The 15,047-nt window shown below is 50.0% G+C and overlaps 1 protein-coding gene across 1 annotated transcript, besides 22 other annotated features; it reads right to left on the reverse strand.

Annotated features, from left to right (window-relative positions):
* Positions 1 to 6,907, reverse strand: CYP2A6 (cytochrome P450 family 2 subfamily A member 6). Its single transcript, NM_000762.6, has 9 exons — positions 6,707 to 6,907; positions 6,278 to 6,440; positions 5,074 to 5,223; positions 4,679 to 4,839; positions 3,335 to 3,511; positions 2,416 to 2,557; positions 1,754 to 1,941; positions 1,091 to 1,232; positions 1 to 437 (listed from the first exon to the last, which is right to left on the reverse strand). The coding sequence occupies exons 1-9, from the start codon at positions 6,884 to 6,886 to the stop codon at positions 256 to 258; spliced, it is 1,485 nt and encodes a 494-aa protein (NP_000753.3). The 5' UTR covers positions 6,887 to 6,907; the 3' UTR covers positions 1 to 255.
* Positions 84 to 378: an enhancer, noted in NCBI's record as "tiled region #4763; K562 Activating DNase matched - State 5:Enh". NCBI's record gives its function as "activates a minimal TATA promoter and a strong SV40 promoter by Sharpr-MPRA in K562 cells {active_cell/tissue: K562}" and the evidence as "EXISTENCE:reporter gene assay evidence [ECO:0000049][PMID:27701403]".
* Positions 4,766 to 5,265: an enhancer, noted in NCBI's record as "H3K4me1 hESC enhancer chr19:41354211-41354710 (GRCh37/hg19 assembly coordinates)". NCBI's record gives its function as "activates a minimal SCP1, AML or CMV promoter by ChIP-STARR-seq in naive H9 embryonic stem cells {active_cell/tissue: H9 hESC(naive)}" and the evidence as "EXISTENCE:reporter gene assay evidence [ECO:0000049][PMID:30033119]".
* Positions 6,886 to 7,022: a promoter, noted in NCBI's record as "-135 core promoter". NCBI's record gives the evidence for it as "EXISTENCE:reporter gene assay evidence [ECO:0000049][PMID:11394901]".
* Positions 6,886 to 7,905: a promoter, noted in NCBI's record as "-1019 promoter". NCBI's record gives the evidence for it as "EXISTENCE:reporter gene assay evidence [ECO:0000049][PMID:14974084]".
* Positions 6,886 to 13,650: a biological region, named in NCBI's record as "CYP2A6 5' regulatory region". NCBI's record gives its function as "regulatory_interactions: CYP2A6".
* Positions 6,932 to 6,936: a TATA box. NCBI's record gives the evidence for it as "COORDINATES:motif similarity evidence [ECO:0000028][PMID:11394901]".
* Positions 6,948 to 6,972: a protein binding site, noted in NCBI's record as "probe A". NCBI's record gives its function as "positive regulation of promoter activity" and the evidence as "EXISTENCE:protein binding evidence [ECO:0000024][PMID:15671201]".
* Positions 6,960 to 6,987: a protein binding site, noted in NCBI's record as "probe B". NCBI's record gives the evidence for it as "EXISTENCE:protein binding evidence [ECO:0000024][PMID:15671201]".
* Positions 6,960 to 6,987: a protein binding site, noted in NCBI's record as "probe B". NCBI's record gives the evidence for it as "EXISTENCE:protein binding evidence [ECO:0000024][PMID:15671201]".
* Positions 6,992 to 7,021: a protein binding site, noted in NCBI's record as "probe 2 p53 site". NCBI's record gives its function as "positive regulation of promoter activity" and the evidence as "EXISTENCE:protein binding evidence [ECO:0000024][PMID:26343999]".
* Positions 7,620 to 7,643: a protein binding site, noted in NCBI's record as "CCAAT-745A; G allele at rs61663607 does not bind". NCBI's record gives the evidence for it as "EXISTENCE:protein binding evidence [ECO:0000024][PMID:15247629]".
* Positions 8,075 to 8,103: an enhancer, noted in NCBI's record as "ARE". NCBI's record gives its function as "enhancer when multimerized" and the evidence as "EXISTENCE:reporter gene assay evidence [ECO:0000049][PMID:20887713]".
* Positions 8,075 to 8,103: a protein binding site, noted in NCBI's record as "ARE". NCBI's record gives the evidence for it as "EXISTENCE:protein binding evidence [ECO:0000024][PMID:20887713]".
* Positions 9,299 to 9,333: an enhancer, noted in NCBI's record as "ERE". NCBI's record gives the evidence for it as "EXISTENCE:reporter gene assay evidence [ECO:0000049][PMID:17646279]".
* Positions 9,299 to 9,333: a protein binding site, noted in NCBI's record as "ERE". NCBI's record gives its function as "mediates induction by estradiol" and the evidence as "EXISTENCE:protein binding evidence [ECO:0000024][PMID:17646279]".
* Positions 11,418 to 13,650: an enhancer, noted in NCBI's record as "-6754/-4532 enhancer fragment". NCBI's record gives the evidence for it as "EXISTENCE:reporter gene assay evidence [ECO:0000049][PMID:16857725]".
* Positions 11,482 to 11,511: a protein binding site, noted in NCBI's record as "DR4-4618". NCBI's record gives the evidence for it as "EXISTENCE:protein binding evidence [ECO:0000024][PMID:16857725]".
* Positions 11,482 to 11,511: a protein binding site, noted in NCBI's record as "DR4-4618". NCBI's record gives the evidence for it as "EXISTENCE:protein binding evidence [ECO:0000024][PMID:16857725]".
* Positions 12,343 to 12,366: a protein binding site, noted in NCBI's record as "DR4-5476". NCBI's record gives the evidence for it as "EXISTENCE:protein binding evidence [ECO:0000024][PMID:16857725]".
* Positions 12,343 to 12,366: a protein binding site, noted in NCBI's record as "DR4-5476". NCBI's record gives the evidence for it as "EXISTENCE:protein binding evidence [ECO:0000024][PMID:16857725]".
* Positions 13,555 to 13,590: a protein binding site, noted in NCBI's record as "DR4-6698". NCBI's record gives the evidence for it as "EXISTENCE:protein binding evidence [ECO:0000024][PMID:16857725]".
* Positions 13,555 to 13,590: a protein binding site, noted in NCBI's record as "DR4-6698". NCBI's record gives the evidence for it as "EXISTENCE:protein binding evidence [ECO:0000024][PMID:16857725]".

Genomic DNA, 15,047 nt, shown 5'->3' on the forward strand with positions numbered 1-15,047 from the left:
TCAGGAAATAAGAGCTGCTATTATTACTACTCTTCATAGCATAATGTAAGGGTTTCCTTCCTCTCATCCCAGCTCGGAAGCACCTTATCAAGGTGAACTGAGCCGCTTCTGTTTCTTCTCTTCCCTCTAGCCACCACGCCCCTTCCTTTCCGCCATCCTGCCCCCAGTCTTAGCTGCGCCCCTCTCCCAAGCCCGGTCTTGGCCCTGCCCTTTCCCTGGCCCCGCCCACCAGACCTGCACCGGCACAGCCCTCGCTCAGCGGGGCAGGAAGCTCATGGTGTAGTTTCGTGGGATCGTGGCAAAGCCCACGTGTTTGGGGGACACGTCAATGTCCTTAGGTGACTGGGAGGACTTGAGGCGGAAGTTCTGCATGACGGTGGTGAAGAAGAGAAAGAGCTCCATTCTGGCCAGGCCTTCTCCGAAACAGTTCCGCTTTCCTGAGGAGGAGAGGCGGGAGGGGTGGAGGTGAAGCCCACTCTCAGTGCAGCCTCGCCCCAGTACCGACCTCCAGCTGCGGCTCTCCCAGGGAGGAAGGGTGGAATATTATGGCCTGAGAGAGTTTCAGAGGAGGCTCTGATCCTCCCTGAGCCTCAATTTCTTTCTATAAGAGATGTAACAATGGTGAACCAATATTGATATATTATTACTAACAAAGTCCATAGTTTACATTAGGGTTTACTCTGTGTTATACAGTTCTATGGGTTTTGAAAAAGGCATAATGTCACACATCCATCATAGATGGGGTGATCCATGCCAGGTGTAGCAATGGGAGGTTTAGATGTCCTTTCCTGCCAGGTACACTTGCAAATATGACTGCTGTGCCGTCATCTCCTTTTTAGGGATCTGAGGAATCTGCTGTGTGACCCTAGAGAAATACATCTACGGGGAAAGATGTTTCCTTTCATTTTACCTGGGCGCAGGTACTGGGTGCTTGGTAGTTAAGGAAGTATCAGCTGCTGGCTCAAGGGTAGATTCTAACAGGAACTTCCAAGCTGGAGAAATACCAGGCTACACCGCAGAGAGGGGAGGAGGGTGAGGGAGGCCCCTGCTGGTGTGAGCCGTGGCCTGGCAGCAAACAGTGGTCTCTTACCGATGGAAAAGGGCACAAAAGCATCACTCTTCTTAAACTGCCCCTTCTCATTCAGGAAGTGCTGGGGATTGAAGTCCTGGGGGTTGGAGAAGAAACTGGGGTCTCTCAGCACAGAGCCCAGCATAGGGTACACTTCGGTGCCCTGGTAGGGAGGAGGAAGTTGTGTGTGATGAGGAGGGTCGGGGGATTGGTGAAAGTACACAGGGGCTGGAGGGGGAACTAGTGTGCCCCAGGTAAGGGGAAGTGGCAGGCATGGAGGAGTTGGGGTCCTCTGATGGAGGAGCTTTGGGGGATAGAAGGTTCACATCTCTGAAACAGGAAGTTTGGGAGACATGGGGTCCATGTCCTTCTAGGCAGGAGTTTGGGGGACCTGAGATTTCTGTCCCTATGACAAAAGGCCGAATGGAAAGGGGGCTTCTGTTTCTTAAGATAGGAAGTTTGGGAACATGTGTTTGATTCTCCTGACACAAAGAGTCTGGAGAGATGCAGGACTCAGGAGTGTCTAAGTGGAAAGGTGGAACGGATGTGGTGGTTGGGGAAGTCTTTTTTGACTGATTGAGGGAGTGGGACAGGGTCTAGAAAGCTTCTAATGTGGGTGGGATGCTGGGGACACAGAGAGGGGCTGGAAGTCCCCGTAGTCTGGGGGGTGGGGGCGGATAGCACCTTAGGGAGGAAGAAATCCCGAAACTTGGTGTCCTTTTTGACTCTGCGGGCCAAACTCATGGGGATCACGTCTCCAAATCTTTGGATCTCGTGGATCACTGCCTCCATGTAGGGCATCTTGGCCCGGTCCTCAAACTTGGGCTGCCGGTTCTTGCCGATCACTCTGTCAATCTCCTCATGGACCTTGGCTGGGGGAGGAGGGGGAATGTGTTTAGGTATCTAGGGGTCTCAGAGCAGGAAATGATAGTCCGAATAGGCAAAATGGGGTGGATGATATGGCTCCGCCTATGAGACGGAAGTAGAGCATTCATAACAGAACAGACATCAGCCATTCGCATTGTTGGAGTAGGATCCTGTTAACCAGGTTGTGCCAGAATCACAGGGGAGGCACAGGGAGGAACTTAGGGGATGACCCGGTGGAACGGGCAGTGGGCACTCAGTGGGCTTGGGACAGAAGTGACTGACCAATCAGTGCAGACATTTTCAATATTTTAATATCTAATGAGACTCAGCTGATGCCTACCAGCTGAATGTTGCCCTGTCTCTGGACAGCAAGTCACGTCTCAGGGTCCCGGGATCTGGGACAGGTGGGGACATTGCACCAGTCGAAGGGGAATTTTGAGGGTCTGGGGCCCTCCACTTCCGTCCCCCTCCAGCCTTACCCTCCACCTCTGGGTGCTTCATGAGCAGCAAGAAGCCATAGCGCAGGGTGGTGCTGACGGTCTCGGTGCCCCCAATGAAGAGGTTCAACGTGGTCATCACCAGGTTTTTCAAGTAGAACTCCGTGTTGGGGTTCTTCTCCTCCTGCAGGGAGAGGGGGCTTTAGGCCAACCTCACTCCTCTTGCCCTCAGGGCCCTTCTAGGGCTTTTCCTTTGGATCTACCTCTCTTTGGTTCAGACCAAAGGTGGAAAGAGGGACCCTAGATCTACCAGACTCGCTCTAGGTTCCAGCCCTTGCCCTGGCTGCTGGCTTTGCCCAAAATGCTCTTCCTTCTCACCTTCTTTACCTTGCTGACCATCTGTCCTTCAATTATCAACTTAGCTGTCAGTTTTTTTTTGTTTTTTTTTTTCTTATACTGACTTGGTCTTGCTAAGTTGCACAGGCCGGACTCCAACTCCTGAGCTCAAGCAATCCTCCAGCCTCAGCCTCCTGAGTAGCTGGAACTGCACATGCGCATGACCATGCAGGCTCACTTACTTTTTAAACAATTAATTAATTTTTTTTGACACAGGGCCTCATTCTGTCACCCAGACTGGAGTGCAATGCCGTGATCTTGGCTCATTGCAACCTCTGCCCCCCTTCGCGCCACCATGCCCAACTAATTTTTGGATTTTTAGTAGAGACGGGGTTTGACCATGTTGGCCAGGCTGGTCTCGAACTCCTGACCTCAGGTGATCCACCTGCCTCGGCCTCCCAAAGTGCTGGGATTACAGGCTGTTAGCCACGGCACCCAGCCAATTGTGAGGATTATTATGATGAGGGTTAATTTGAATGGGCCTGTGTCATCTGCCTGCCCCACTCCCAGACTGATTTCCCTCTGCCTGGCTTTGCATCTCCCCGCAGTGGCTGCTGGGGTGTACCTCCTGCATGCGGATGAGAAAGGAGTCAATGAAGTCCCGTGGGGAATTGGGATCCAGCGTGCGCTGGTTGTGCTCCACCTTCTTGGCTATGAAGTCCTCCAGCCCTTGCAGCAACTGAAAGGCCTGTTGCTGTGGTCCTGGCAGGTGTTTCATCACCGAAGAGAACATCTCATAGAGCTGGGGTTGCAGAGAGAGGATGGGAAGGGAAGGACAGCTGTCACGGGGCAGGAGCTGATGGGAATGGGATTTGTTTCATAGCAAGGAAGGAACTGAGTTAAAGGCATCTGTCTCGTTGTTTAGGTATTTCAGTGGGGCCGGATAGGAACTTATATCTAAGTTTTCAGGAAGGTTAGGTACCAGGGCCACGGTCTAGTAATTTAGGTGAGAAGAACTGAGACATATATCCAGGTTTCAGGTATTTAAACGAGGCTGGATTGGAGCACACATCTAGGTGTTCAGATATTCAAGTGAAGTTGAGTTGGAAGACACCTGTCCAGGTGTTTAGCTCTTCAGGTGGGGCTGGTATGAGGTGAGTGTCACCTGTCTAGGTATTTAGGCATTCAAGTAGGCTTGGTTGGAGACAGCTGTCCAGATACTTACTGGGTCTGGATTGGGGGCTTTTGTTCAGGTGCTCAGGTATTAAAGTGGGGCTGGTGAAGATGTTGAAGTGGAGGGGATACCTGTTGAGGTGTTTACCTATCCAAGTGGGATGCACTGGGAGCACCTCTGTAAGGTGTGTGATTGGAAAGGGTTGGGGAACACTTATTTGTGTGTCAGGGAACAATCTGTCTAGATATTTATGTGTTTAAGGTGTTGGTTAGGGCAGCTGTCCATGTTTTCAGGTATTTAAGTGGGTGAAGTAGAGGGCGCTTGGCCAGATATTCCAGTGGGCTAATCTGGGACATTTGTGTAGATGTGAAATGATTATGATGGGCTGGATTTTGCAGCACCAGGTGTTCAGGTATGCAGGAGGCCGGTTGACGCAGTCACTTGTCCAGGTGTTAAAATATTCAGAAGAACTGGGTAGGGAGCATCTGTTAGAAATTACGGTAAGTTGGGGATGGGAACACGTGCCCAGGTGAGAGAGCTGAGCTGAGGGTATGCATCCTGCCAGCAGGCTCTGTTTTGGGGAGCATCTGTTGAGCTATCCAGGTGTCCTTGGAGACAGGGTATTGGACATCCATCCTGGGTTCTGGTGCAACTGTCCAGTTGTCCAATATCGGGGACTGATTTTGAGGGGACACTGTCTGGAGGGCGGTGGGAGTTTGGGGCACCTGTCTCCAGGTAGGGGAGCAGTTGGCAGGTTGTGGTAGGGGCGTCACGGGCCGGGCTGCAGCCAGTTACCTGCCCCGTGGAGGTTGACGTGAACTGGAAGATTCCTAGCATCATGCGCAACAGTGACAGGAACTCTTTGTCCTTATAGTCAAAGCGGTCCCCAAAGACAATGGAGCTGATGACATTGGAGACTGTGCGGCTCAGGAAGAAGGTGGGATCGATATTGGCGCCTGCGGGTATGGCGGGAGAAGGGGGTTGGGGAGAGAGTCAACTCAGAGGTCTGAGGAGAGTCAGAATTCCAGGAGGCAGGGCCTTGTTGAGCCAAATTCCCAGCGCCAGACTCCAGGGCTGGAAGTGCGGGCGCCTTTCCCCACCTAGTCCCCATCCCCAGGCAGAACGCGCGCGGGTTCCTCGTCCTGGGTGTTTTCCTTCTCCTGCCCCCGCACTCGGGGTCCCCTGCTCACCGCCAGTGCCCCGGAGGGCGTCGATGAGGAAGCCCGCCTCCTCCTGGATGCGCTCCTCGATGCCTCGCTTGCCCACCCCGAAGTCCCGCAGGGTGGCGATGGAGAAGCGCCGGAGCTGCTTGGCGCGCTCCCCGTTGCTGAATACCACGCCTGGGGAGGTGAACGCGGGAATGGAGACAGGCCAGGGGGCGGCAGGGGCAGGAGCGGAGCAGCTCCAAGGGGCTCCCCAAGGGTGGAGGAGAGAGGGAGTAGGGTGGGAGAGAGATGGATTCAGCGCCATTGCCCAGCAGAGCTGCAAACTCAGTCAGAGAAACACGATGTCGAGGTAGAGAGAGAGAGAGAGAGAGAGAGAGAGAGAGAGAGAAGAGAGAGAGGAGAGAGAGAGAGAGAGAGAGAGAAGAGAGAGAGGAGAGAGAGAGAGAAGAGAGAGAGGAGAGAGAGAGAGAGAGAGAGAGAGAGAGAGAGAGAGAGAGAGACCAGGTTTAAAGAATAAGACAATCAGAAAAGAAACAGAAAGGCCAGACAGAGAGATGCACATAGAAACAGAGGGATAAGGGGACACTCCATGGAGGAAGGGAAGGAAGTGGGGAGAGAAAGAGAGTGATGGAGGAAGAGGATGGAGGGAGGGGAAGTGAGATATGGGGAGATCTGGGAGGAGGAAATAAAAATGGTGAAAGATTCTTAAGCTGAGCTGGAGAAGAGAGAAAAATATTGAGATAGAAACAGAGAGGGTCTGGAAGGAAGAGAGACTGTTACCAGGAGATGGAGGCTGAAGATGTGGAAGTAGGAATACCCTGAAATCCTAAGACAGAGGAAGAAGTGAGAAAGGGATGCGGAGAGATGAGAAACACAGAGAAGCCCAGAAGCTAAGAGGGACAAAAAGACAAATGAAGACAGAGAACCAGGGCTGGAAAACAGAAACCCAGGATGTCCTTAGAGATGGAGAGAGAGGGGAAAGAGGAGACTCCAGTGAGAGAGAATAAGGAGGTGGGGCAGAGAGAGGCAGGGAGGAATCAGGACAGGGACGCTGGAGACAGGTGAGGGATACACATGGAGAGGCCACAATGAAGGGAGATGGGGAGGGAAGACCAGACTGGGGACTCTGCCTTAGCCTCCAGTTGGCAGGAGAGTCAGGGAGAAGGCTGGGAACACTGAGACCTTCGTGTCCACCTGGCCACCTTCCCCCTCTTGGGCACCCCCTCACCATAGCCTTTGAAGACCCAGTCGAAGGTGGCTTGCTCGCCTCGCCCGCTGAACTCCTCAGCCTGGTCCACCAGAGCCTCCCTGACGGCATCATGTCCACACAGCACCACGACCCGCCGGGGCCCCAAGTGAATGGTGAACACGGGGCCATAGCGCTCACTGATCTGATGGAGGTGGGTGGGAGTGGTTAGAGGGAGAAGCCTCCACTCTGAATGGGGCCCAGCACCGAGATGTCATGTGCTGGGATGCTTCGCACCCAGGTTCTCACAGTCAGGGAGCTGGACATCCCAAGATCCTGTCTTTCTGATGCTGAAACTCCAAAACTCCATTTCCTAAGACTCTGGTCCACACTGGTCAACCCCCTGCCACAAAGCCCCAGCCAACTAGGCAGCCCCCACCCCGTGCCACCCATCTCCCTGCCTTGGGACACCTTCATGAGGGAGTTGTACATCTGCTCTGTGTTCAGCTGCAGGTAGTTTCCAATGAAGGGCAATGGGGTGGGTCCCGGAGGCAGCTTCCCCTTGCTCTTCCTCTGCTGCCAAACAGACATCAAGACCATTACAGTCAGGCAGACCAGCAAGGCCACCAGAAGCATCCCTGAGGCCAGCATGGTGGTAGTGGGATGATAGATGGTGACGGCTGGGGTGGTTTGCCTTTATACTGCCTGAAAAAGAGGGATGGACTTTGGCTGATTACATAATTACCTCATTTCACCTCCCAACTACATGCCCCACCATGAATCCTGCCTAGCTTGGGACACAGCCAGCAAGGGAGGATAAGGGGACCCCAGGGCAGCTGAACAGAGAGGGGGCCTCCAGACTAAATCTGTGGTACTTCAGGAGGGGTGCCGCAGGGCTGTGGATTTAGGAGGGGGCAACAGATAAGCTGTAGAACTGAGGAGTTTGGAATATTTGCATAGGGGAGCACTTGGGCTTTGGATTTGGGGTCTGAGAGTGAGAATGCACCCCAAAGTTGTGGATCTGGGGGTTCCAGGGGAGAGGAATCCAAAGGTCTGGGTTTTATTAGGGTAAGACAAAGTGTGGCTGTGCATTTAGGGGTCTTCTGTTGTGGAGGATGCAGGGTTAAGGGTCTCAGGAAGGGGGATTCCAGGCATATGGACTTGAAAGTCTCGGGGCTAGGAAGACCCAGGGCTGTGGGTGTGGAGTTTCTGGGAGGAGGAGTGTGTAGCAAGCCCAGCGGGTTCTCCCAGAAAGCCCAGCAGCCCAGCACTGGGTCCAGGGGCTGACTTGATTTTGCTTTTGCCCAGAGCTGTCTCTTGATGCCCAGAATCCTCATTGGAACCTCAGAGTGAGGCCAGGATGGGTGCCATAGAACCTCCACTGCCCATCTCTGATTGGGAAGGGGAGGAAGACCAGAGCCATATTTCAGGGGAACTTTCCCCACACCTGGAGAAGAGTACCTGGAGTTAGCGGTTGGCAGAGGGATTGGCTAGGTCTGGAGAAATAGTAATAACAACCCCCAAATGGTGGAAAAATCTCAAGTGTCCCAAGGGTTGTCCGCTGGTTTCCAACCCAGATCCTCAGGGAAACCCACTAGATTGATTGTATCATCCCTATTAATATTATGATTGTTGTTTATGTTTCTCATTTTATATAAAGATCTACAGAGGACAGAAAACAGACAGTGGGCAGGGGACATGTGTGAGTGGCCCTGAACTCCCATCTCTCCTGCTCTGTGTACTTAGTTCCCCTTTCTGGATTTGGTTTTCCTGCCAGTGGAAAGGGAGTGTTTGGGAAGAGAAGATCACATTCGAGGGTGAGTTAAGTCTCCTTTAAGAATGATTCCTGCTTTGTCAGGGGCTACTACTATTAGCAGGCAGAGGGAACAGTGGCAGAAGAGATTGGGGTAAACTCCAGTATTAGGCACAGAGGCAGATCCTGGGGTGGGTGTGAGTGGAGAAGGGATGAGTAGCCCTCCTGTCCTTCCCTCAGGGAAATTCTTCCTTAGTAAACAGGACAGTTACCCTTTGGTGAGCATGGTCGTATACGGGAAGATTAAGTCTAGGTGTGTATGATCTGGTTGAATCTTTGTAACAATGAGGTTGGTTCATCATGATCATCCTCATTTTGAAGATGAGCAGATCTAGACTCCATAAATCCTCTTGAGTGAGGTCACACAGGGAGTAAGTGAGGGAGCTGGGATGTGAACTTTCTCCTCACCCCCCTTCATTGACTGGCCTAGATCACCCTGGGAGTCAAGTGCAGGCCAGCCTTAGCAGGAGGTGAGTGCTGGGACTGGCATCAGCAGTGGACACACTGATGACATTGGTGGGTTCTGATATCAGCATCAGGTATGGCCAGGGAGGGAAAGGCATCGTGTTGGCTTTGGGACTGCCCCCAGGTGTATGCGAGGATGGGAAACAAGTTGGCACTGAACTTGACACCAGGAGAATATTGAAGTCATGTTTGGTGCCAAGAGGGCTCTGTGTGTTGTCTCAGGTGTCATTGAGGGCATAAGAGTGTCCTGCTTCAGGAGGGCGTAAGGGTGGCACCATATAGGGTCTGAGGTTGGTCCCAGTGGGCTGTGACATGAGCATGAGGCAGGTGCTGATATTGGTCCTATGTGGGTCTGAGATGAGCCTCAGCCAGACCCTGAGAGGGGCCCCAGATGGCCACAGGACAGGCTGTGGTGGTTGGACCATTTAGGGTTGCACCTGTCCTCTGGGTCACCAACTTTGGACAAGTGGAGGTGGGTGAGGTTGGCACCCCCAGGACTGACATCTTGCTCAAACTGTTCTAGGATGCTGAGCTCTGAGACCTGTGTGGAGGGAACAAAGGTCAGAGAACAAGGCAGAGAGAGGAAAGTTGTTTGTTGATTTTGGAGGGGAAGAGGTGGGAAGGAAGATTAGCACCAGCTTGGCAGATATCAATCGCTCTAATCCTGTTCACCAGTCTGCACCTGGGCCTGGCTCCTCCTTTTCCTTCGTGTTTCTTAAAAAGGTGGGAGACAGAAATCTGGGGAGTTTGTTTCTCACTGGGGTTGGCACTAGGAAGTGCACTGAGTGATCAGCAGGTTGCCATGACCTGGCCAGGGAGGGGATGGGGAGAGACAGGTTGGGAGAACTCTAGTATTTGTGGACATAGAGGTCAATGAATTTTGGACTTGTTGATTACCCTAGAGCATGGAGTGAGAGAATGGTGTCTGAAATCATGTGGGAGGGACTTGTCCCAGTGGGCAGTGTCTTGGGAACAGGCTTTCAGAGTGAGTTAGTGGCGAGCCCAGGAAGATCCCTTTCCTTTGCTGGGCCTCAGTTTCCCTTTCTGAATGGATGGTGCAATGATTAAGGCCTGGATTGGAATCCTAACCTTATCCTTTCTTTGTTGTGTGGCTTTGAACAGCTGACTTCATCTCTCTGAGTCTTATGGAGCCAAGAACAGCTCCTACCTCTTTGGCTATTTAGGGGAGAAGTATAAGTGTTAATGCAGATGAGGTACATGGCAGTAAGTGCTCAATGAATGGTAGTTGTTCTCTTTAATCTGTAGGATGAAGCGGATGGATGAGATGTTCCCTAAGCACATTCCTTGCTTTTACATTCTCTAGTCTAAAGCTCACAAATCTTTTCCTTTGGGAAGGAGGAAAGGGACAGAGTCTTTGGGAACCTCCTTCGCCATCCCTTCCTCAGCACAGCCAAGCTTTACCCCATGGAGCTGTGAATAGGAAATTAATCCTTCATGGCCTCCTGGAGTGTGGTGCTGAGTTAGGCAGTATCTGCGGAAGGACAGGCCAGCATTAGACTCTCAGGTTATTCTGGTTGGCCCTGGAGCCCTGCACAGGACTTTGCCCACCTGTCTGTCTATGCTTGTCTTGGATCCCATCTTTCTATCTTTCTCTTTCTCCTTCCCTGCAAGTCAGTGTTCCCCTCAATCACCCTGTGTGCTCATGCATCTTTGTGTTTTGTGCCATTTTGTCCAGTGGGTTCTCCTGGATGCCTCTGCCATGTTTATCCTCATTTATACAACTGTGTGTGTGTCATTCTGGGTGCATGCTTTTAGTGTCTACGTGTATGTATGTTTCAGCATGTTCATGTTGATACATGAATTTATGTGTGCACCAGGCTTTGTGGTGTGTATGTTTGTGCTTGATAATGGGTATCCATTCCAACTTATGTCTGCACATGCACATGTGTGTGTGTGCCTGACAGGGTGTGGCACTGTTTCTCAATGCTTGCCAATCTTTGTGTCTGTCTCTGCATACAGCATGTGTGCACACATGATTTAGGGGTGTCTACGATGTGTATTTCTGTGTAGAACAAGATGAATGCTGCATATTCATATTTGTGTGTATACATTCACAATTGGGTGACTACATATAAGTATGTGGATGTTTTTTTCTTTGTTTTTTTTTTTGAGACAGAGTCTTGCTCTGTCCCCACGCTGGGGGGCAGTGGCATGGTCTCGGCTGGAACCTCTGCCTCCCAGGTTTACACCATTCATCTGCCTCAGCCTGCTGAGTGGCTGGGGCTACAGGTGCCTGCCACCATGCCCGGCTAATTTTTTGTATTTTTAGTAGAGATGGGGTTTCACCATGTTAGCCAGGATGGTCTCGATCTCCTGACCTCATGATCCGCCCGCCTCGGACTCCCAAAGTGCTGGGATTACAGGTGTGAGCCACCGTGCCCGGCCAGTACGTGGATGTTTTCATGTGTTCATTCTGGTGTGTGTGTGCAGACTTGTGGGCCATGTTGCATACACGTGAACATGTGATATTTTCCTGTGCTCATCTGTGTTTGGATTAAAACAGTCCTATCCCAGCTCCATTTATCTGCTTGAAAAAACCCCCAGAACTGCAGGAAGCTTTTTATGAGCATAATCTTAATTGAACTCCTGATTGCAAGACTGAGGTTAGCTTTATCATCTCCATTTTGCAAATGAGTTAGATAAGTTCCCCCAAAGCCGGTCATAAGTGACTTGCTTCTGCATTTCACAGCTAATGAGTGTAGAGTCTTAGTATGGTCTTGTGTGATGGTAAATTTTTTTTTTTTGAGATGGAGTTTCGCTCTTTTGCTCTTGTTGCCCAGGCTCGAGTGCAATGGTGCGATCTTGGCTCACTGCAACCTCTGCCTCCTGGGTTCAAGTGATTCTCCAGCCTCAGCCTCCCGAGTAGCTGGGATTATAGCCACCAGACACAGCTCATTTTTCTATTTTTAGTAGACACGGGGTTCACCATATTTGTCAGGCTGGTTTCAAACTCCTGACCTCAGGTGATCTGCCCACTTCGGCCTCCCAAAGTGCTGGGATTACAGGCATGAGCTACCACGCCTGGCTGTGAATGTAAGTTTCATGCTGTTAATCACCACTTTGGACTGCTAGGCCCCACCTGTTTTTCTTTATGAAACATTAGAAAAACTGCTTGTACTCCCTTGTATTTCTTCAAATACTTCCGTGTAAACATGTAACAAAAGATTTCAAAATGTTAGAAAAAAAAAGTCTTTTAATAGGAGGGAGACTTGACCTTCTATAGTGTTTGCACTCTTTGGAACCTTAAGCAAAGACCTAGTTGGCCAGTATAGCCCTCATGCCATTGGCAATGAAGCAGTGGGGGAGTTGGGGTATTAGTGGTTGTGGTCAGAGAGTGAAATGTCTGTGTTTCACATTTCAGATTGATGACAAGGATTTGGGGGGTGGGGCTGTGGGAATGTTGGCTGAAAATAGAGTGAAGAAGGTCAAAGAAGAGAAGACAGTCAAGATTCTTTTTTTCTGAGTGTTTGGATAGCTCACATCCATGGCCATGAAGTTCCTCCCTACCAGGAAAATGGCAGGACTTAGAGTTCAGAGATGGGACATTTAGTAAATAGTGCTACAATAAACATGAAAGTGCCTCAACATACTAATTTTTTTTTTGAGGCAGAGTCTCACTCTGTTGCCCAGGCTGGAGTGCAGTGGTGCGATCTCAGCTCACTGCAACCTCTGCCTCTCGGGTTCAAGCAATTCTCCTGCCTCAGCCTCCCAAGTAGCTGGGACTATAGACGTGCACCACCATGCTGGGCTAATGTTTGTATTTTTAGTAGAGACAGGGTTTCATTATGTTGGCCAGGCTGGTCTTGAACTCCTGACCTTAAGTGATCCGCCCATTTGGCCTCGCAAAGTGCTGGGATTACAGGTGTGAACCACTGTGCCCGGCCAGCTACACACTACCAGATCTCACGAGAACTCACTATCATGAGAATGGCAAGGGGGACATCTGCCCCCTGATTCAATCGTCTCTCACCAGGCCTCTCTTCCAATATTCGGGATTACAATTCAACATGAGATTGGGGTAGGGACACAGACCCAAACTATATCACCTTCTCTGTGGTAGGTTATATTGTTTTATATTTTTATTTTTTTGAGACAAGGTCTTGCTTCATCGCCAGGCTGCAGTGCAGTGGCATGATCATGGGTCACTGTAGCCTTGACTTCCTGAGGCTCAAATGATCCTCTTATCCTCTTATCTCAGTCTCCCAAGAAGCATGCCACCATGCATAGCACATTAAAAAATTTTTCTTGTAGAGAGAGGTCTCCTTATGTTGCCCAGGCTGATCTTGAACTCCTGGGATCAAGTGATTCTCCTGCCTCATCCTCCCAAAGTGCTAAGATTTTAGACATGAGCCACCCCACCCAGTGATTATATTGTTTTATTTATTTATTTATTTATTGAGACAGAATCTTGCTCTGTTGCCCAGACTGGAGTGCAGTGGTGTGATCTCGGCTCACAGCGACCTCCACCTCCCAGGTTCAAGTGATACGCCTGCCTTCTGCTGCTGAATAGCTGGGACTACAGGCGCCCACCATCACGCCCATCTAACTTTTGTATTTTTAGTAGAGATGGGGTTTTTCGCCTTGTTGGCCAGGCTGCTCTCAAACTCCTGACCTCAAGTGTTCTCCCCACCTTGGCCTCTCAAAGTGCTGGGATTACAGGGGTGAGCCACCACGCCCAGCTTATATTGTGTTGAAAATGTTTTCTTCTCTCCCACTGGTCCTTTCCTTAGGTAAGAATTACACTTTCCTCTACCCCATGGACAGGCTTGGCTGTCTACTTGCTTTGGCCATGACTCCTATCAACTCTTTTTCTTTTTTTTTTTTTTTAGACAGAGTTTCGCTGTTGTCGCCCAGCCTGGAGTGCAATGGTGCAATCTCGGCTCGCTGCAACCTCCACCTCCTGGATTCAAGCCATTCTTCTGCCTGAGCCTCCCAAGTAACTGGGATTACAGGCACACGCCACAACGCCTGGCTAATTTTCTTTGTATTTTTAGATGGGGTTTCACTGTGTTGGTCAGGCTGGTCTCGAACTCCTGACCTCAGGTGATCTGCCCGCCTCGGCCTCCCAAAGTGCTGGGATGACAGGCGTGAGCCACCGTGCCCGGCCAACTCTGTTTTGTTTTTTTTTTTTTTTTGAGAAGGAGTCTCGTTCTGTCGCCCATGCTGGAGTGCAGTGGCGAGATCTCAGTTCACTGCAACCTCCGCCTCCAGGGTTCAATTGATTCTCATGCCTCAGCCTCCTGAGTAGCTGGGATTACAGGCACATGCCACCATGCCTGGCTAATTTTGTATGTATATGTGTGTGTATATATATATATATACACATATACCTGTATATTCAGTAGACACGGGGTTTTACTATATTGGCCAGGCTAGTCTTGAACTCCTGACCTCAACTGATATGCCGGCCTCGGCCTCCCAAAATGCTGGGATTACAGACATGAGCCACTGCTTCCAGCCTAACTCTGTTTTATACCAAAGGTCTCACTGGGCTCCAGTAACTACTTCCTCCATTTCCACTCTCAGGGATGGGGTGGCAATGGAGCCCCACTGTTATGGGCTTCCAGGATTTCCCTTAATGCTGCCCTCAACTTTGTAAATAGTCCTATCATTAAACTCTCAATTATCCTGTTTGTGTATGACTTATCATTCCTGCTGGGATCCTAACCCACACAGCACTTCATTGTATGGATGAACCATTTATTTAGCCAGTTCTTTAATGATGAACATTTAGGTCATTTCCAATCTTTCACTATTAAATAAAACTGCAGTAAATAAACTTGTATATAGGTGATTTTTCACATAGTCAAATACAACTACAGGATAAATTATTATATATGGAGTTGCTGAATCAAATAATGCTGTTTAAAAATAATTTTGACTGATATTGTCAAATCATGTATAGAGGTGTACAGCCCTATTAGCAGAGGATAAGGATGGGGACTTTTCCTTTGGAGCAAGCCCAGAATCCTGAATGTTCCAACAGCTGAAGATGAGGACTGCTAAGAGAACTCAAGGTAAAGAACATTAGATTTCTGGCAAATAGGTGTAGGTGGGTATCTTGAGTAATTCATTGAATAAATGAAGTGTGTAACTGTGTTTGTTCCCCATCTTGGAATTTTTAAAAATTATTGCTTTTAGATGGAGTCTCACTCTGTCACCCAGGCTGTAGTGCAGTGGTGAGATCTCGCCTCACTGCAACCTCCACCTCCCAAGTTCATGCAATTCTTGAGCCTCAGCTTCTCCAGTAGGTGGGACTACAGACACACACCACCACACCTGGTTAATTTCTTTTGTATTTTTAGTAGAAACGGGGTTTTACCATTTTGGCGAGGCTGGTCCCGAACTCCTGACCTCAAGTGATCTACCAGCCTTGGTCTCCCCAGGTGCTGGGATTATAGATGTGAGCCACCGTACCCAGAGGATATTGTTGATTATAATTGTTACAGAAGTTTTCGAAGGTTTGTATTAGAAAATGTTAAGTCTCAGAGGACTGTCTTAGTTCATTTTGTG

The sequence above is a fragment of the Homo sapiens genome, chromosome 19 (genome assembly GCF_000001405.40).
Source record: "Homo sapiens chromosome 19, GRCh38.p14 Primary Assembly".
Taxonomy (NCBI): domain Eukaryota; kingdom Metazoa; phylum Chordata; class Mammalia; order Primates; family Hominidae; genus Homo; species Homo sapiens.

Excerpts from the sequence above, each read along its gene's own strand:
- CYP2A6 (NM_000762.6), bottom strand. The coding sequence starts at position 6,886 with ATGCTGGCCTCAGGGATGCTTCTGGTGGCCTTGCTGGTCTGCCTGACT. Across the intron at positions 3,512-4,678 it reads CGTCAACCTCCACGGGGCAG|CTCTATGAGATGTTCTCTTC; the intron begins GTAACTGGCTGC and ends CTGCAACCCCAG. Across the intron at positions 438-1,090 it reads TTTTGTGCCCTTTTCCATCG|GAAAGCGGAACTGTTTCGGA; the intron begins GTAAGAGACCAC and ends TCTCCTCCTCAG.